We start from the raw sequence: 19,447 nt of genomic DNA, 5'->3' as shown, positions 1-19,447 counted from the left end.
ATTTTATTTATCCAGTCTATCATTGATGGGCATTTGGGTTGGTTCCAAGTCTTTGCTACTGTGAACAGTGCTGCAACAAACATACATGTGCATGTGTCTTTATAGTAGAATGATTTATAATCCTTTGGTATATACCCAGTAATGGGATTGCCGGGTCAAATGGTATTTCTGGCTCTAGATCCTTGAGGAATCACCACACTGTCTTCCACAATGGTTGAACTAATTTACACTCCCACCAACAGTGTAAAAGCATTCCTATTTCTCCACATCCTCTCCAGCATCTGTTGTTTCCTGACTTTTTAATGATCGCCATTCTAACTGGCATGAGATGGTATCTCATTGTAGTTTTTGATTTGCATTTTTCTAATGACTAGTGACAAAAGCTAAAATAGACAAATGGGATCCAATTAAACTAAAGAGCTTCTGCACAGCAAAAGAAAGTATCATCAGAGTGAACAGGCAACCAACAGAATGGGAGAAAACTTTTGCAATCTATCCATCTGACAAAGGGCTAATATCCAGAATCTACAAAGAACTTAAACAAATGTACAAGAAAAAAAACAACCCCATCAAAAAGTGGGCGAAGGATATGAACAGACGCTTCTCAAAAGAAGACATTTATGCAGTCTGGAGACTCAATGAGCAGAGTTTCAGGAGAACAGCTTCAGTTGGGTGGGTGGGGTATGGTATGGAAAGAGAAGGTGTCAGTGAGTAGAGGAATAAGTAGGGAGTAAGACAGCAAGGATGGTGTGTGAGTACGGGAAATGAGCTTTATTTGGATGATGGGAGTGATCTTGCCATACTTGCTACACTTAAATAAACACCAAAATCTATCAGACTCTGCTTTGATCCGCGCCAGGGATTCTGGATGTGAAATCCCGCAGTCCGGCGGCCTCAGCATCACCTGGGAACCTGTTAAAAGTGCAGATTCTCAGTTCTCATCTAGACCTCCTGAGTCATAAACTCTGGGGGTGGGCTGTAGCACCAGTGTGTTTTAATGAGCCTTTGGAATGAGTTTGAGAACCACTGGCTGTGACATAATTTTGAGAAAAATTAGCACAGTTGAGCTAATTTTCCTCTGAAGAATTAGTTTCTGAGAGAGTTCTAAAGCTAGAAGCCAAGATTTACAGAGCAGAGAGCAGGAGAAACAAAGCTCTGCCCTCCTTCCTGGAATGCAGCTGGGGCTCAGTTTTCTTGGTGCAGATAGGAAGAGGAGCCGAGTGGCCTCATTCCCTTACTGAGCCTCAAATTTCCTGTTGTAACACAAAACATTATTATCTAAGGATGTGCTTTGCTTTAATAGAATGTAGCATTCCATTTATTAAAGGCCTGACATTCCCTGTTCTTTTTTTCTGTCCTTAAAATGCCATCTGATATTTTTATTTTTGGTACGCCACATGAGTGCAAACTGAAAAAGCTCGAGATTCGGGCAGATGTTTCCCCTGATACAACTGCAAGTTTATCAAAACGTTTGTTTTTGTCCCACCAGGTCTGTGAGCTGGATATTATCTTTAATTTTGAAAAGGCTTATTTCATCCTGGACGAGTTTATAATAGGTGGGGAAATTCAGGAAACATCCAAGAAAATTGCTGTCAAAGCCATTGAAGACTCTGATATGTTACAGGAGGTCAGTACGGTTTCCCAAACCATGGGAGAAAGATGATGATGATGATGATGATGGTGTTAATAATTATAATATTAACCAGACTTACTGAGTACTTACTCTGTGCTGGGTACAGTTTCTAAACTATTTATATGTATTAGCTTATTTAATCCTCACAACAACTCGAAAAAGTAGGTGGTATTGTTACTCCCACTTTACAGATGAGTAAACTGAGACACCAAGAGGTTAAATGACCTGCTCAATTTCACACAGGAAGTGTGGAATTCCTCTATTCCACTAGGAAGTGTGGCATAGAGATTTGAACCCAGGCAATTGGGCTTTAGAGTCTTTGCTCTTCACATTTGGATGAGCTTTGGAGTGCAAGAGTCCTTCACTGCCAAAAAGGTATCAAATACTTAGTGCTATTCTTTTCAAGAATAATTTTATGAGATGTATAAAAAGACTTTCATTAAAATACCTATGCTTCCCTGGGAAAGGAGAATAGCAGTACATTGTTATTTTGTTTGCCAGAGATATTAAAGCTTTATTATTGAGCATGGCATTTATCATTTTAATTAAAATTTCTTACACCTTTTGGGAAGGCTGTATGTGTGCTCCTGCTTGCATAAAGAAATTGGGAACACTGTGGTTTGCTTGCCAAGGTATAAATGGGCCCAGAAGCATCCATTTTGTACTGCCCTGGACTCTGGGATTTCTATATAAAATAAAGTGGGAATGTTCTTTTAGAAGCCGCACAGATTTGCATCATACCTCCTCAGGGAACTTACCTACATCAGCCCCTCCATTCCTCCCAGGACACTGTGAGAAAGAGCACTTCACCCCACTGACCTCTGCCCTCCCAAATGAGATGCTCTGAGGGGCTGGGTTCCATCCCAGACCTGCCACCCCTAGATTCTTCTTCCCACAGCCTCAGTGGGTCTTCCCATCTTCCTATTTTCAAATAAGTAGGTCAAGAGGATCCAGAGCATTGTAAAGCACCTTTTTAAAATCAGCATTTGGCCGGATGCGGTGGCTCACTCCTGTAATCCCAGCACTTTGGGAGGCCGAGGCAGGCAGATCACTTGAGGCTAGGAGTTCAAGACCAGCCTGGCCAATGTGGTGAAACCCCATCTCTACTAACAACACAAAAATTAGCCGGGCATGGGGATGTGTGCCTGTAATCCCAGCTACTTGGGAGGCTGAGGCAGTAGAACCACTGGAACCCGGGAGGCGGAGGTTGCAGTGAGCTGAGATAGCACCACAGCACCACCTGGGTGACAGAGCGAGACTCCATCTCAAAATAAATAAATAAATAAATAAGTAAAACTGGCATTAAAGCTACTTTTTTCCTGCTATTTGGAAGAGGGTGATTAAATTAACAAAACACCATTAGGTGTGAATTCCCAGCAACTGTTTTGGTGCATCTTTAGGCTGATTACTTGCTCCTGCCCAGCCAGAGCATCAGTCCTCTGGTGAATGGATGTGGAGGAAAACATCTATTTGAGTGGGTGCCGTAAGCAGCTGCGTGTGCCTATTAGAAGGCCAATGCATTCATTACCAGAGGTGTCTGACCTCAAAAAGTGCATCTAAACTCTCTGATGTTGATTTGGCTGTCTCCAAATGCCACAGGGAGGAAAACTTTACAAGGTATTTGAGAAATCAGTGGTTTGGAAATTTCACAAAACAGTGTTTCATAAAATACTCTGGGAGTTGGGGGCAGGTGGAGGGGGTGGAGGTTTTTTTTTAACTTCAGGACCTCAGGGTCCTGACTGTGGAGTCTCCTTACAGGAGAAACAGAGTTTTTAACGGAGTCTTTGGCACTTCAGTAATTAAAGCTGAATTGGGGGCCAAGACACACCTGGGTTAATTTGAAATCCTCTCAAATTAGGAAATGTTTTAAAAAGGTTGTCATAAATCTGGTGTTGCTGGTTCCATTTAAATCTAGGAAGTAAGTGTTTCAAGAGTGAGCTCTTTCACAATTAAATGCTAATTGGTGAATGAGTGGAGGGGCTTGATGGGTAGGTCTCAGGGGACCTTGCATTTAGCCCTGGTGTCCCTATGGTGAGCAGGCAATGTCATGGCCACCCTCTCAGTCTCTTCTGTTGCGCTAACAACACTTGCCAAATACAGAGAGTGTTATTAGTGTTCTCTTGGGCTCTGGTATTCAGTGAAGTCAGTAAATATTCTGGGGAGCTTGTTGAAGAATTGACTTTGCATATCTTGCCTGCTTAAGAGGTTTCAACTGGATAGGAGCCAGTAGTATACTTGCATAAAGGAAAATAATTACTGCTTTTTTTTTTTTCCTGTCCTTTGGACCCAATCATATATTTGTAGTTACTGAAGGTTAAGGGAGGCCTTTGTGACATTGCTTTAGCTGTGAGAACAGCTGTCAATCTTCAGTAGCCCCTAAGACTTTTCTCTAGCTCCTACTTAATAACAGTTTCTTAGAATAATAACTTTTAAAAAGCTACACCTGCCTGCGGATTTAGTAAGAAGACATAGCCTCAAATCTCCAAATGCTCAAAGCTTATTCTGAGCGTGTGGTGGCTAGATGTTGATAAGAGGAAAAGAAAGGAACTGTTTACTTGGTTGGGAATACTTATTTGGGGGTAACAACAATGTGGACAATGGCACAAAGTTATTAGAAGGAAAATTAAACCCTCTGTCTGGGCGTGGTGGCTCACGTCTGTAAGCCCAACACTTTGGGAGGCCGAGGTGGGCGGATCACTTGAGGCCACGAGTTCGAGGCCAGCCTAGCCAACATGGCAAAATCCCATCCCTACTAAAAATACAAAAATTAGCCAGGTGTGGTGGTACACATCTGTAACCCCAGCTACTTGGGAGGCTGAGGCAGGAGATTTGCTTGAACCCAGAAGGCAGAGATTGCAGTGAGCCGAGATTCCACCACTGCACTCCAGCCTGGGTGACAGAGCAAGACTCCATCTCAAAAAAAAAAAAAAAAAAAAAATTGCTGGGCACAATGGCTCATGCCTATAATCCCAGCACTTTGGGCCGAGGCAGGTGGATCACGAGGTCAGGTGTTCAAGACCAGCCTGGCCAAGATGGTGAAACTCCGTCTCTACTAAAAATACAAAAATTAGCCAGGTGCAGTGGTGGGCTCCTGTAATCCCAGCTACTCAGGAGGCTGAGGCAGGAGAATCGCTTGAACCCAGGGGGCGGAGGTTGCAGTGAGCCGAGATCATGCCACTGCACTCTAGCCTGGGCGGCAGAGTGAGACTCTGTCTCAAAAAAGAAAAGAAAATGAAACTCTCAAAGGCGATAGTGGTCATTAACCACAGGACTTGCAATAGGTAGGAGCGACAAACAGTAGATATTTTACCCCAACTAACAGCCTGCCAAGAAGGGAGGCTCAAGGCCAGATGCGATGGCTCATGCCTGTATTCCCAGCACTTTGGGAGTCCCAGGCAGGAAGACTGCTTAAGTCAAGAGTTTGAGATCAGCCTAGGCAACATAGTGAGAACCTTGTCTCTACAGAAAAATGATAAAATTAGCCAGGTGTGGTGGTGTGCACCTGTAATCCCAGCTACTCAGAAGGCTGATGCGGAAGGACCGCTTGAGCCCAGGAGTTTTGAGACCAGCCTAGGCAACATAGTGAGAACCTTGTCTCTACAAAAAGTAATAAAATTAGCCAGGCATGGTGGTGTACACCTGTAATTCCAGCTACTCGGAAGGCTAAGGTGAAAGGATCACTTGAGCCCGAGAGGTCAAGGCTGCAGTGAGCGGTAATCGCACCACTGCACTTCAGCCTGGGTGACAGAGTGAGACCCTGTCTCAAAAAAAAGAAGGGGAGGGTCAGATTGTATCTCATGAGCAATAGGATTCTATGTGCCCTCGTGTGGATGCAGGCGAAACTGCTAGGTGCACCCTAACACTGTCACCCTTAAAAGCGTAAACCATGTTAACAGCTAGGCCAAACCACAATGCAGTAGGAAGTCATAACATACACTGTGCTATATGCATAAGAAACACAGCAGAGCTAGATGTATCCAGAAGAGGACCCAAGATACAGACTCCAGCTCCTGTCTTGAGAAGGTAAGAGCAACTAAGGTTCTGCCAGCTCTAAAAGTCTGCCCCAAACCTTTAAAGTGGCAAGCTCAAGAAAATGCCAACTTTTACCTTATTGGTTTACATAGCTTGAGTAACCAGCCTGGCTCGGCTCAGACAGGGCAGCCAGTGTGGTGTTTAGCAGACTGAGTCATCTGGTGATGTGAGCAGTGCCAATGACTAGAGGCCACTGAACCACAAAGACAGGAAAGTGTCAACTCCAGGCCCCTCCCGAGGCTACAGGCAGGGCCTAGCAATGCTCTCATCTGGTCATGGGTTTTTGTCCACTTTGCAAAAATAAGATATTTTAACTGCAAAAAGTACGTAGCCATACAATATAATATATGATAGAGGAGTGTCAAGCAATTAATTCGTGAAAATAACATGCAACCATTTTTTATTTTGTGATATTTGTCATCTTCAAAATTCACAATCTGTGGTCGTTTCTTTTCTCATTCTAAGTACACTTTATACCTGATTTTGTATTTGTAACTTTGTATTCCCATGTAAATGGTGTAAACTCTAGATTCCATAAAACCAGCATGGCCCAATGGCCTGTATGATCCCTCTGCTAAGTTAAAAGACCCCACGGGCAGCATCTGTAGAGGGGTAGATGGGTATGGGGCTGTCTTGGCCAATGCCCACTTAGGAGGTGAGAGCTTTGTTGAGTAAATGTGGATGACTGAATACAAATGTTTTCTGGCAGAACTCTGGAATTCTAGATAGAGTTGGTGAAAACCAGTTAGAAAACCTCTTTTGAAGGTAAGGGCAGATTTCTAGCCCTAGTATCTCCTGAGCAATCTTGCTCGGCCAGTAGCCTTGGTATCTTCAGCCCATGTCAGTCAGCGTATTTCCTGGCAGGTTCACATGAATCATATACCCTGGAGTTTAAGCTTAAGAACAAGTTGAACTTGGATTGCTAAATGAGCAGATCGTGACTCAAACGAAAGAGGCAGGTGATTTTTTGTCCTCTCGAGCTTTCTTATTGATTCAACTTGGGGCCCTGGTGTGACACAAATATATATGTTTAAAGTAGGAGAGTGTGCAAGAGAAAGCCCATCTGTCTTGCATGGTATAGAACCTGGAACATCACTGTTAACTTTGAACTCTACCTGTAATTGTGAGTCTGTTCAAACATTTTTTTTTAAATGCTGAAAAAAAATATTATGGCTTTGGGGCATGTTAGCAAACTTAGTAACTGATGGACAGTATGAAAAGAATGAGATCATGTCCTTTGCAGGGACGTGGATGGAGCTGGAGGCCATCATTCTGAGCAAACTAGTGCAGGGACAGAAAACCAAATGCCACATGTTCTCACTTAAAAGTGGGAGCTAAATGATGAGAACACACGGACACATAGAAGGGAACAACACACACTGGAGCCTTTCAGAGGGTGGAGGGTGGGAGGAGGGAGAGGATCAGGAAAAATGACTCATGGGTCCTAGGCTTAATACCTGGATGATGAAATCATCTGTATAACAAATCCCCATGATACACGTTTACCTCTATAACAAACCTGCACATGTATCTCTGAACTTAAAAGTTAAAAAGAAACATAATTTGTATACTTTGGGAGGAAGCCTTTGAAAACATATGGCAGAAACTATACATTTTTTCCTGTGAACCTTGTAGAGAAGTAAAGAAATTCTTAAGAATTTTGGTCTGTTTATCTTTTTTGTCTTGACAATATGTATAATAAAGATGCTCTGCACAATATAGGTAACGATACATATGTTATACAGACGTAATTCAGAATTCTCTAATACACGTACCTGGATGTGGTCCTCCTGATCATTTTAGCAAACGTGTTTATCTTAAGTCAACAGTGATATCTTGGCAACTTTGCTTTAGCATTTCAATCTCTCTCTCTCTCTCTTTTTTTTTTTTGTTTTTGAGACGGAGTCTCACTCTGTCACCCAGGCTGGAGTGCAGTGGTGCAATCTTGGCTCACTTCAACCTCCGCCTCCCGGTTCAAGCAATTCTCCTGCCTCAGCTTCCCGAGTAGCTGGGAATACAGGTGCATGCCACCACACTCGGGTAATTTTTGTATTTTTCATCGAGATGGGGTTTTGTCATGTTGGCCAGGCTGGCCTCAGGTGATCTGCCCACCTCAGCCTCCCAAAGTGCTGGTATTACAGGCGTGAGCACCACACTGGCCAAGCATTTCTCTTATCAGACATTCACTTTATGATCAAGCTTAACTTTTTCTCAGTTGAAAGTTACTTAATTCCAGCCCCATATGGATGTGTATACAAATTATACTCAAACTTTGATTAGAATGCAAAGATTTTATATCCATGTATCCTTTTGACAACTTGTTTTCAACAATGGCAAATAAATAAAAGAATGCAGAAGATTTCACAGTCTGCGGAAGGCTGTGACTTAAAGGGAAAATTGTTCTAATTTATTGTTCGCTTTCAGACAATGGAAGAATACATGAACAAGCCTACATTTTAACTGGAAATCTACTTGAAGACTCCAGCACTACATGTTATGAAGCTGTAAATAAGCAACGCCTCCCATCCGGTTTTTTGATGGAGCCTCAGGCACCATGCCAAAAATAATTTAAAGGGATTCTTTGTTAACTAACAAAGTTAAAGTTGTTTAACATATTTATAATTACTATGTGTCTGTATTATTAAAAAAAATTATGTGTCTGTGTTATACTGTATAGGTACTTGTAGCTCTAAATGTTTAAAGTAACTACCACCTAACCCAACAGACAATATTTGTAATGTATTAACTCCATGTTATGTTTTTAAGCTGGTTTAGATACATTAGCTGCAATTTTTTTTGCATTTGACACAATATTGTAATAATCCATGATTTTGAATGTAAAGTATATATGATGTCATTAATACTTTTTCTAAATGTTTAGTTTTCTAAATTGTATAATAATTCAAAATTATGTTAATAGTGCAGAGTTTATATGTAATGCTAGACATTTTTCATACACTTAATAGTACTGTAACTGCAATTCACATACAAAATGTCTGATTTTAATGTGCTGAATTCATTTATTTTTTTTAGAATTGGGATTATGAAAATAACCAAAGAGTATAGAACTTAATAAGTGTTTTTGATGCCTTAGAAGCTGCTATCTTGACTGAGGTTTTAATTTATCTTTTAATTGAATATAAGGGACATTCCAATAAGGTTTTCTATGAACTATATATTTATTAAGGTTTATAGAGACCTAGAGATACAGCATCTATGACTTCCTTTATTATTCTAAAATAGTATGATAAGAATTAATAGCAATAATAATTATTGCTACTATTTTTTAAAATTCACGTTCCAAGCACTCTTAGATGCTGGAAATTTCATTTCAAATATGTTTTAATGTATCTCTAATGCATTTGAAGACTTATTACATGGCTTACTTAGAGCATTTAAGATTATCACAGCCTATATGGTAGATTCCTTTCCTTCTTTTTTCTTTTCTTACCCTTTCCTCCCCAAAGAAAAGATTTGCTGCTGACCATTATTACTGTAAGTATATCACATTTGTGCTTCCTGGAATGAAAATTCTGTATAACCAGGTCCTAACAGTGATCAGACATATTACAGGGAAATAGCTTGTAGGCCGGGAGTGGTGGCTTACACCTGTAATCCCAGCACTTTGGGAGGCCGAGGCAGGTGGATCACTTGAGGTCAGGAGTTCGAGAGCAGCCTGGCCAATATGATGAAACCCCATCTCTACTAAAAATACAAAAATTAGGCCGGGTACAGTGGCTCATGCCTATAATTCCAGCACTTTGGGAGGCAGAGGTGGGCGGATCACAAGGTCAAGAGATCAAGACCATCCTCGCCAACAAGGTGAAACCCCACCTCTATTAAAAATACAAAAATTAGCCGGGAGTGGTGGTGCGTGCCTGTAGTCCCAGCTACTTGGGAGGCTGAGGCAGGAGAATCGCTTGAACCTGGGAGGCAGAAGTTGCAGTGAGCTGAGATTGTGCCACTGCACTCCAGCCTGGGCGACAGAGCGAGACTTCGTCTCAAACAAACAAAAAAATTAGCCGGGCATGGTGGCAGGTGCCTGTAATCCCAGCTACTCAGGGGGCTGAGGCAGGGGAATGGCTTGAACCCAGGAGGCAGAGGTTGCAGTGAGCCAAGGTCATACCAGTGCACTCCAGGCGGGTGACAGAGCAAGACTGCGTCTCAAGAAAAAAAAAAAAAAAAAGAAAAAGTAAAAGCTTGTAGTATTCTGTCTTGCTGCCTGCTATTTGATGTTTTACCTGTGCATTTTCAATGTTAGCTTTGAGGTCTGGTATCATTCATATTAGAGTGGTTTGGGACCTCCAGTGATTTCCTAGAAGAGTGTGTTTCCTGTTGGATTCTTTAGGAGATCCCATCTGGTAGATTTTTAGAGAACTCGATGGAAAAATGTTCTCTTTAGTTCATCTCAGCAGACATATTTAGGGAAAACAGCAAAGCAAGCAGGAGAACAAAGGGAAAAATTCACCAATTCCTCAATATAACCATTGTTCAAAGGAAATAACTCAGATTAGCATATAAAATAATCATTAGGCTTTTACTATCCAATATTTCTTCAGGTTACCATGTAATTACAATTATGGCATCAGCTTGAAGTTTATCATGTATGATTGACCACTGTGTTTACTTTAGCTAACCTTCAGTTTTGTGGTTTAACTTTTTAATGTGTTAGAATTTTTTCTTTCTTTTTTTCTTTCTTTCTTTCTTTTCTTTCTTTCTTTCTTTTCCTTCCTTTCTTCCTTCCTTCTTCTCTCTCTCTCCTTCCCTCCCTTCCTTCCTTCCCTTCCTCCCTCCCTCCTTTCTTTCTTTCTTTTTCTCTTTTCTTTTCTTTTCTTTCTTTTCTTTCCTCGCTTCTTGTCACCCAGGCCAGAGTGCAATGGTGTGATCTCAGGTCACTGCAGCCTCCGTCTCCTGGGTTCAAACGATTCTCCTGCCTCAGCCTCCCGAGTAGCTGGGATTATAGGCATGCGCCACCACGCCTGGCTAATTTTGTATTTTTGGTAGAGTTGGGATTTCTCCATGTTGGTCAGGCTGGTCTTGAACGCCGACCTCAGGTGATCCGCCCGCCTTGGCCTTCCAAAGTGCTGGAATTACAGGCATGAGCCGCTGCACCCGGCCAAATTCTTTATTTTTCAATACAATTTTGTAAAGATGGACCTCATGTAAATCCATCATAGTTTTTCCGGTTCTTTTGAAATTTGTCACCATATTTGGATAAAGGTATCTCTTGAACCTCATTCAAATATACTACACATGTTCTGGATAATTCCATATTAGACACTTTAGTTATGGACAGGGCTTCTCAGACTTCAATCAGTGTCACACATAGAAAGTAAATATATCTCTTCTGGGCAAGGTGGCTCACGCCTGTAATCCCAGCACTTTGGGAGGTCAAGGCGGCAGATCACCTGAGGTCAGGAGTTCGAGACCAGCCTGGCCAACATGGTGAAACCCTGTCTCTACTAAAAATTCAAAAATTAGCCAAGTGTGGTGGCACATGCTTGTAGTGCCAGCTACTCAGGAGGCTGAGGCAGGAGAATCGCTTGAACCCGGGAGGCAGAGGTTGCAGTGAGCTGAGATCACGCCACTGTACTCCAGCCCGGGTGACAGAGTGAGACCCTGTCTCAAAAAAAAAAAAAAAAAAATGAAAGTAAGTAAACATATCTATATGGCACAGTGGGGTAAATTTGAGGGATTTTAGGGACATCTTCCATGGGCCTAGGCTAAAATAGTCATTGTGTTTTCTTTATATTATATAATTACTATAAAACTACCAAGAGAAAGACAGTAAATGTTAAATTTCTATAAAACTTCCAAAATAAAATGTTTTAACATGTTTTAATGAGGAACTTGGTGTGTTTTCATGAATACACTTTTTTTTAAGTCAGATTTTATGTTTGAAATTGCTACTCATAATTCCTGGTGATGTCTCTTTAATATGACCTCTTTATTTTCTTGGTACCTACCAACAAGAAGCAACTTCAAAAGTAAGTGGTAGCAAATGGGAGAAGAGTATTTATTGCTTTTGCTCCTACTGACTTTTCTCATCATTCACCTACATTTTGGTAATCTGATCTCTTTACACGTAATTAATGATGTGATCATTTTTTAAATCTAGTGACAGCTCCTTTTCTTTCATTAACAAATGTAAAGTTGACAATTTTTGTGATAAAGCAAATGGATTTTTGATTCAAACTTTTTTTTCCATATCAAACCTCCTAAAATAATGATAAAGCTTTAGTCAAATGTATTGTTCTAATCTTTTTTGAGACAGAGTCTCACTCTGTTGCCCAGGCTGGAGTACAGTGGTGTGATCTCAGCTCACTGCAACCTCCACCTCTGGGTTCAAGTGATTGTTGTGTCTCAGTCTCACGAGTAGCTGGGATTACAGGTATGCGCCACGTGCCTGGCTAATTTTTGTGTTTTTGGTAGAGACGGGGTTTCACCATGTTGGCCAGACTGGTATTGAACTCCTGACCTCAAATGATCTGCCCACCTCGACCTCCCAAAATGCTGGGATTACAGGCGTGAGCCACTGCGCTCAGCCAGCGTCTTCTTTAGAATTCATGTTATAATACCTACGAAACATCATTGGTGAACTGTGTTTAATTTCACCTTTCTAAGTTATAATCAATACATTTTACTGGTAAATTTTACCTGATAATGTACTTATTCACAATGGTCCCTGAAAATTTTTGATTAAGTTCATTCAGATGCTGAGGAATATGAGCAAAGCAAGCCAATAAATATTCTCCAATAATTTGCAAAGGACAACCATTAATTTTTTTTTAATTCTTATTTTAACTCTTGACACAAGTTTACCAGTAGACCATGTACTTTGGTATTAAGCAGAAATCATCTATTTTGTCACATATTGCTAAAAACAGAAAGGTCTGTAACATCTAGGGCTGCCTTTTTTTTTTTGAGTCAAGGTCTGGCTCTGTTGACCAGGCTGGCGAGCACTGGCATGATCATGGCTCACTTCAACCTTGAACTCCTGGTCTTAAGGGATCCTCTCACCACAGCCTCCCAAATAGCTGAGACTACAGGAATGCACTGCCATGCCTGGCTAATTTTTAAACTTTTTTTAGAGAAGTGGGGGAAGAGGGGCGTTCTCCCTGAGTTCCCAGGCTGATCTCGAACTCCTGGGCTCAAGCGATCCTCCCACCTTGGCCTCCCAAAGTATTGGGACTACAGGCATAAGCCACCATGCCTGACCTTCTCAGGCTTTATTAGACTCACCTTCTGATAGAACCATTTAATGTGGAATTCAGCCCTACACAAGAACTTTCGATAAGTTCTTCATGAATAAGCTCACGCATTAACTGAATCTCAGCATTTTTTCCTTGCATCTGTGCTATCACATAACTTATGCAGTGTTTCCATTATATTTAACTTATTTAAGTGTTCATTTACTATTTTGCTTACTAGTTTGTTTTGCAGCTTTACAGAATAAATAATGTTTTAAGCATTTCTCTTCAGGGTTTCACAGTTACTAACAAGTATCAATTAACCTGAGATGATCTATTTACAATGTAACCATTCTGGATTAGAATTATTTTCGTGTCTTTGCATGTTCTGTATCCAGTGATAATATTATTCAAAAGTGGCACTTTTTCTCTTTCCTTTGGAAAATGATGAAAATTTCCACACAGATTGGTAAAATGAGCAGTTCTGCAATTGTGTGAGTTACATGAGGTTTTGCTATTGTTAGCTGACTTCATAACCAGCTTTATGAGGTATACTTGATATTGTTATAACATTTTTTTAAAAATTAAAAAATAGAGATGAGCTCTCACTGTGTTGCCCAGGCTGGTCTTGAACTGGGCTCAAGTAATCCTCCTATCTCAGCCTCCCAAAGTGCTGGGATTACAGGCGTCAGCCACCACACCCAGTCTACTATAACTTCTAGGAAACTTTGTTTCTTATATTATACTTTCCTTTCTTTAAACCTTTATTTAATCTTGTGTGTAAAATGCTTGCTTAGTAGAAAGATGCCAGTATAATTTACTTGATTCTATTGCTTTACTTGATAACATTTTGAAGAGAAGAAGACATTTAGGCTGAAGAAAAGGGAGAATTACGGTCCAGGCGCAGTGGCTCACGCCTGTAATCCCAGCACTTTGGGAGGCCGAGGCGGGTGGATCACAAGGTCAGGAGTTCGAGACCAGCCTGGCCAACATGGTGAAACCCTGTCTCTACTAAAAAAAAAAAAAATACAAAAATTAGCCAGATGTGGTGGCAGGTGCCTGTAATCCCAGCTACTCTGGAGACTGAGGCAGGAGAATCGTTTGAGCCCCAGAGGCAGAGATTGCAGTGAGCCGAGATCATGCCATTGCACTCTAGCCTAGGCAACAAGAGCAAAACTCCATCTAAAAAAAAAAAAAAAGAAAAGAAAAAGGAGAATTATGAAGAACTTGGTTCCACAAGTAAGATAGTCCTCATACTGCATCAGTAGTGACTTAAACTTTTTTAAAACTTTTATTTTTTGTGGGGGGATCTGTTGAATTTGGGAAGCCTCCAGTTTTAATAAAATTTTTTTATTATGGTGGAAACATGTCTGTAAAACTTAGGACTATAGAAATGCAAAGAATAAAGAACTGAGGGAGTTACACACATTTGTAGTCAGAAATTAAGTTCAAAAAATAATTTAGGTCATTTGCATTTTTTAGTATGCAAAATAAATGGAAAAATTAAAGTGCAATAAAAATATAATTTGGGAAATGAATGCAGTAAAATTGAAAACATTGAAATATTATAATTTAATAAAATAAACTTCAAAAAATGTATGAAAATATAAGTATCTTTACTTATATAGGATTAAATATATTTCTGATAATCTGTCCTCTATAATGAATTGGTTTAATTATGTTTTTCTGTTTTTAGAAATGGGCATCTTTTTATTTCTGGAAACAACTTTTTAATGAGATTTTATCAAACATTAGACTATGACTAATTATAATATTCAAAGCCAATACCAAAACGATGGATAAATAAATGAATAAAACAAGGCACATTAATAGAAAAAAATGAATGAAATCAATTACGGGTTCTACTTGAAACACCTAATCTCATTATAATAGCAATAATAAAACAATTTGTACATACTTTATTAGTCGAACATTTATTAAAAATATAAGAGCATAGAGCAAATTAATTTGGAAGAAAATTTAAATCTTTTACATACAAATACCCTCAAGAATAATAAATCATGGAGTATTAATAAAATTAAACCAGCTGATAATTTTAGAAAGTGCTTCATGCACAGAGACTTTTATTCAAGTCCTCTTTGCTTTCTGCTAGTGCTTTTTTTTTTTTCTTGAAATGGGATGGGATCTCACTCTGTCACCCAGGCTGGAGTGCAGTAGCACGATAGCAGCGCACTGCAACCTGGACCTCCTGGGCTCAAGCAATCCTCTCACCGCAGCCTCCTGAGTAGCTGGGGCTACAGGTGTGTGCCACCATACTTGGCTAATTAAAAAAAAAAAACTATTGTAGACAAAGTGTCTCACTATGTTGCCCAGGCTGGTCTCAAACTTCTGGGCTTAACTGATCCTCCTGCCTCAGCCTCCCAAAAAGTTCTGGGATTACAGGTCTGAGCCATCTTGCCTGGCTATCAGTGCCTTTTATATTCAAAATATTTTGAGCCAAAATACATAAATACTGAATTTAGGAATTTTTCTGAGACAGCCATCCAAATACTATTTAAATATTATTTCAACTCGTGTGAACTTTTGGATCAATAAAAATAATGATTTGATTTTTTTATCTCTATACATGATTTTCAACTATCAGTCTCTCAGAGTAAACAAGTGGTCCATAGTACACTGGTTGTGATGTTCTGAACCATATTACTGAGTATCATATTTATGTTTAGAGAGTCAAAGTGGAGTAGGAATTGAGGACCTTCGTGCTGGTCCTGGCTGTGCCACTGACAAGGCTCTTGGACTTGCTCTTTGGAATGGATGGAATGTTAGAATCAGATGAGATCATACAGTGGTCTAATTCACTCAATATATAGAAGAGGGAAGAATAATCATTGCTGTAACATTTATGTTTTGACCAAGTGCCAGTGGTAGTCATTTGTTTAATTAAACTTTGTCTTGATCAAAGGTGTTACCCCATGAGAATATTTGATGAGTCTGGTATGAAATACAATCCTAATGACATTCAAGCATGTTTTTCACCCTTTTAAATGATACAAGTGAAGAATATTGAGTGCTCTTTAAATGAAAGATGCCATTATAAGAGTAGATAGAACCACTCCTGGAGTAAAAGGGGAATTACAAGTTTGTATTGGCCGGGAGCAGTGGCTCATGCCTGTAATCCCATCACTTTGGGAGGCTGAGGTGGGCGGAAATTACCTGAGGTCAGGAGTTTGAGACCAGCCTGGCCAACATGGCAAAACCCCGTCTCTACTAAACAATACAAAAATTAGCCGAGCATGGTGGTTCACACCTGTAGTCCTAGCCACTTGGGAGGCTGAGGCAGGAGAATTGCTTGAACCGGGGAGGTGGAGGTTGCAGTGAGCCAAGATGGTGCCACTGCACTCCAGCCTGGGTGACAGAGTGAGACTCCATCTCAAAATAAAATAAAATAAAAAATAAATAAATAAAAACAAGTTTGCATTGTCGAGTTTTGGAGGAGGGACTTCTCATATGTTTCAGAAGGAAAGGAGAGAACAGAGGAAGAATACATTTTTTGCTGGTCTTGAATTTGCAGCCTCTCTTGAAGGTTGGTTCATTCATGGTGGAATTATGGCCAGTGGAATGTGGGTTGAAGTAACCCATGCCCACTGCAGGTCTGGCTCACAAAACTCTCCCATATGAGACCTCCATTCTTTGTTTACAGCTAAACAAAAAGACTCCAGGACCCAGAGAAGGCAGAGCCATGAGATGGGAGGAATCTGTAAAAAGGCTGTCAGGAAAGCCAACCAACTAGGACAGCCAAACTGGACTAATATATGCAACAGAAGTCAACCTCTATTGTGTTACGCCACTGCACTGGGGTTGTTACAGCATTGAGCATGCCCCAATGCACAAAAAAACTGTGCGCTACCATCAGGAGGATCAGGATATATGAAATCAAGTTTATTTACAGAAAGTGCACAAATAAAGCACCCTTTAGAGATAACACAAGCGACTATCTGGAAAAGGGTGGATAATAAGCATGATTGGGAAAGCAGGCTTCTAAGAAATAGATACCAAAATGTAGAAGTAGAAAGATTGTGATGTTGCCATTCACACATCATGTCAGTTTTGTAGAGGCACAAATTGGGTCCCACGGGTTATCCTGCACCTGCGTACAAATTTTGTTTGACTGTCACTGTATAAAAAAATTGAATCAATCATGTTATTTCACATACAGTCTTTTGTTTTTCTTGGAAAATTTTAAGAGCTGGCAATATTGACCCTGCACTTCTATATGGCAAGAATCAGCTGGAGCTAGAGGGTTGCACTGCTGTTTCCCACAGCCCCCACCTCTGCACCTGCCCACTTCTCTGGGCATTTTCTTTTCTTTCTTTTTTTTTGAGACAGGAGTCTCACTCTGTTACCCAGGCTGGAGTGCAGTGGTGTCATCTTGGCTCACTGCAACCTCTGCCTCCCGGGTTCAAATGTTTCTTGTGCCTCAGCCTCCCAAGTAGCTGGGATTACAGGTACGTGTCACCACTCCTGGCTAATTTTTGTATTTTTAGTAGAGATGGGGTTTCACCATGTTGGCCAGGCTGGTCTTGAACTCCTGACCTCAGGTGATCAGTCTTTCTCAGCCTCACAAAGTGCTGGGATTACAGGCATGAGCTACCATGCCTGGCCCCCTGGGCATTTTCATTTGACCCCTATGCTAGATTTTTACCCTGCTTCTGTGGTTGCAGGTGCAGCCCCTTAGTTTGCCTTTTGAGACCCTCCATGATCTGAGTGCTTCTGTACTTTTAAATCACATACCCACCCTCCTTCACAGTTCCTTCAGGTTGATGTATGATTCTCTTCTTGTTGGCTGTTGCTTGTTCTGTTCATTCCTTTTACCTAAATGTTGTTTGCTCCATTTCCCTATATCCAGATTCTTTAACACCCAACTCACGTACTACTGTCTTCCTGAATCCTCTCTCATTCCATTCTTTCTCCCTTCTCTGAAATCCCTTTGCATTAAATCTATGCCTCACAAGGTACTTAATTTATCACTTTTAATGTTATATTGCAGATATTTAAATATAAATTACCTGGACATAAAAAGTCCAGGATGAGTGGGAGGGCTGTGTGTGTGTGTGTGTATGTGTGTGTTAGAGAGAAATAAATAACTTTTCTGAGTCTCCTAATGGTCTATTGATATCTTACATACATTGACACAATTTCTCATAGCTACTAGATTAGAGTCTAAAACCTCTCCTTTAAAAAGATGTATTTTTCTTTTTTATTTTTTTTGAGACAGGATCTCACTCTGTCATCAAGGCAGGGGTGCGGTGGTGTGATCTTGGCTCACTGCAACCTCTGCCTCCCAGGCTCAAGTGATTCTCCCACCTTTGCCTCTGGAGCTGGGACTACAAGCACATGCCACCATGCCCAGCCAATTTTTGTATTTTTTGTAAAGAGGGGTTTGTTTGTTTTTTTCTGGCTGGGTGCAGTGGTTCAAACCTGTAATCCCAGCACTTTGGGAGGCCGAGGTGGGTGGATCACCTGAAGCCAGGAGTTCGAGAGCAGCCTGGCCAACATGGTGCATGGTCTTTACTAAAAATACAAAAAATTAGCCAGGCATGGTGGCAGGTACCTGTAATCCTAGCTACTTGGGAGGCTGAGGCAGGAGAATCGCTTGAACCCAGGAGATGGAGGTTGGAGTGAGCAGAGATCGCACCATTGCACTCCAGCCTGGGCAACAAGAGCGAAACTCCATCTCAAAAAAAAAAAAAAAAAAAACAGAAAGTTTTTTTTCCATGTTGCCAAGACTGGTCTCGAACTCCTGAACTCAAGTGATCCTCCCACCTCAGCCTCCCAAAGTGCTGGGATTACAGGCATGAGCCACTGTGCCCGGCCAAAAGGTACATTTCTTTTAATACTGCCAAACTAGAAGATTTTTGAAGAATCACAAGAAGTTCTTGAATCTAGTAAGTTGTATGATCATTTCTAGAGTATATCATCAAATAGTTTATTTTTAATCAAGAGAGTTTTTACTGTCTCTTATGTTGTCTTGAATCCAGAAGTAACATTAAAATATTGTACTTCTGAAGCATGATAGGATTCCAACATTTCAGGTGACAGGTGACACTCTACTGTCCAGGACCTTTTCTGTTCTGTCTACTACTGGGTCCCTACCACCCATAGCAGTGCCTGGCACACAGTAAGATATCAGTAACTGCTGAAAGTTGAGGAACATGGTGATTACTTGGTTGCTGCTGTTCTTGTGATAGAATGATCAAAATTAAAACTGAGCACTTAGCAGTGGCACCATGAGGATGTGTTTTCTTTCTTGGGAAATAAAAATAAGAAGTTTGGAAGCAGAAGTTAAACTGCCACATTTCCAAGCCAGCCTTCATTCAATACCATTCACGTGCATGACACACCAAGCTTTTATGTTGAAGCTATTCATCTGGGTGGGGAGCCCATTGCCAAGACTTGCCGGCATAATGAAAAAGAACCTGATGGCTTGTTGATGTGATTGTACAAGGAGGAACAGGCTTTTCAAAACTATGATTCAAGTCTACCCAAATATGTGCACTTTTTGTATTTTTAAATGTGTCATGTGGATTATGATTTTAGTGCAAGATTATGATAGGGGATCACTTATTAAGAT

At 40.6% G+C, this 19,447-nt stretch overlaps 1 protein-coding gene across 4 annotated transcripts in view, besides 2 other annotated features; it reads left to right on the top strand.

Annotated features, from left to right (window-relative positions):
* AP1S3 (adaptor related protein complex 1 subunit sigma 3) overlaps positions 1–11,514 on the top strand; it is an 82,257-nt gene extending 70,743 nt beyond the window's left edge. For 3 of the 4 annotated variants that reach the window (NR_110906.2, NR_110905.2, NM_001039569.2), the window contains 2 exons: positions 1,490–1,627; positions 8,090–11,514. Coding sequence is in view for 2 of the 4 variants with exons in the window: in NM_001039569.2 (NP_001034658.1) it covers positions 1,490–1,627; positions 8,090–8,125 (174 nt within the window). In the remaining 2 variants the exon portion in view is untranslated. The remainder of the gene's footprint in view (positions 1–1,489; positions 1,628–8,089) is intronic. The other variant, XM_011510600.4, reaches the window with a different exon arrangement.
* Positions 4,742–5,111: an enhancer, noted in NCBI's record as "active region_17172". NCBI's record gives its function as "activates an Ori minimal core promoter by ATAC-STARR-seq in GM12878 lymphoblastoid cells {active_cell/tissue: GM12878}" and the evidence as "EXISTENCE:reporter gene assay evidence [ECO:0000049][PMID:35858748]".
* Positions 5,634–5,928: a silencer, noted in NCBI's record as "tiled region #2258; K562 Repressive non-DNase unmatched - State 24:Quies". NCBI's record gives its function as "represses a minimal TATA promoter and a strong SV40 promoter by Sharpr-MPRA in K562 cells {active_cell/tissue: K562}" and the evidence as "EXISTENCE:reporter gene assay evidence [ECO:0000049][PMID:27701403]".

This window comes from Homo sapiens, chromosome 2 (genome assembly GCF_000001405.40).
Source record: "Homo sapiens chromosome 2, GRCh38.p14 Primary Assembly".
NCBI lineage: Eukaryota > Metazoa > Chordata > Mammalia > Primates > Hominidae > Homo > Homo sapiens.
This window is presented reverse-complemented; position numbering and strand designations above follow the sequence as displayed.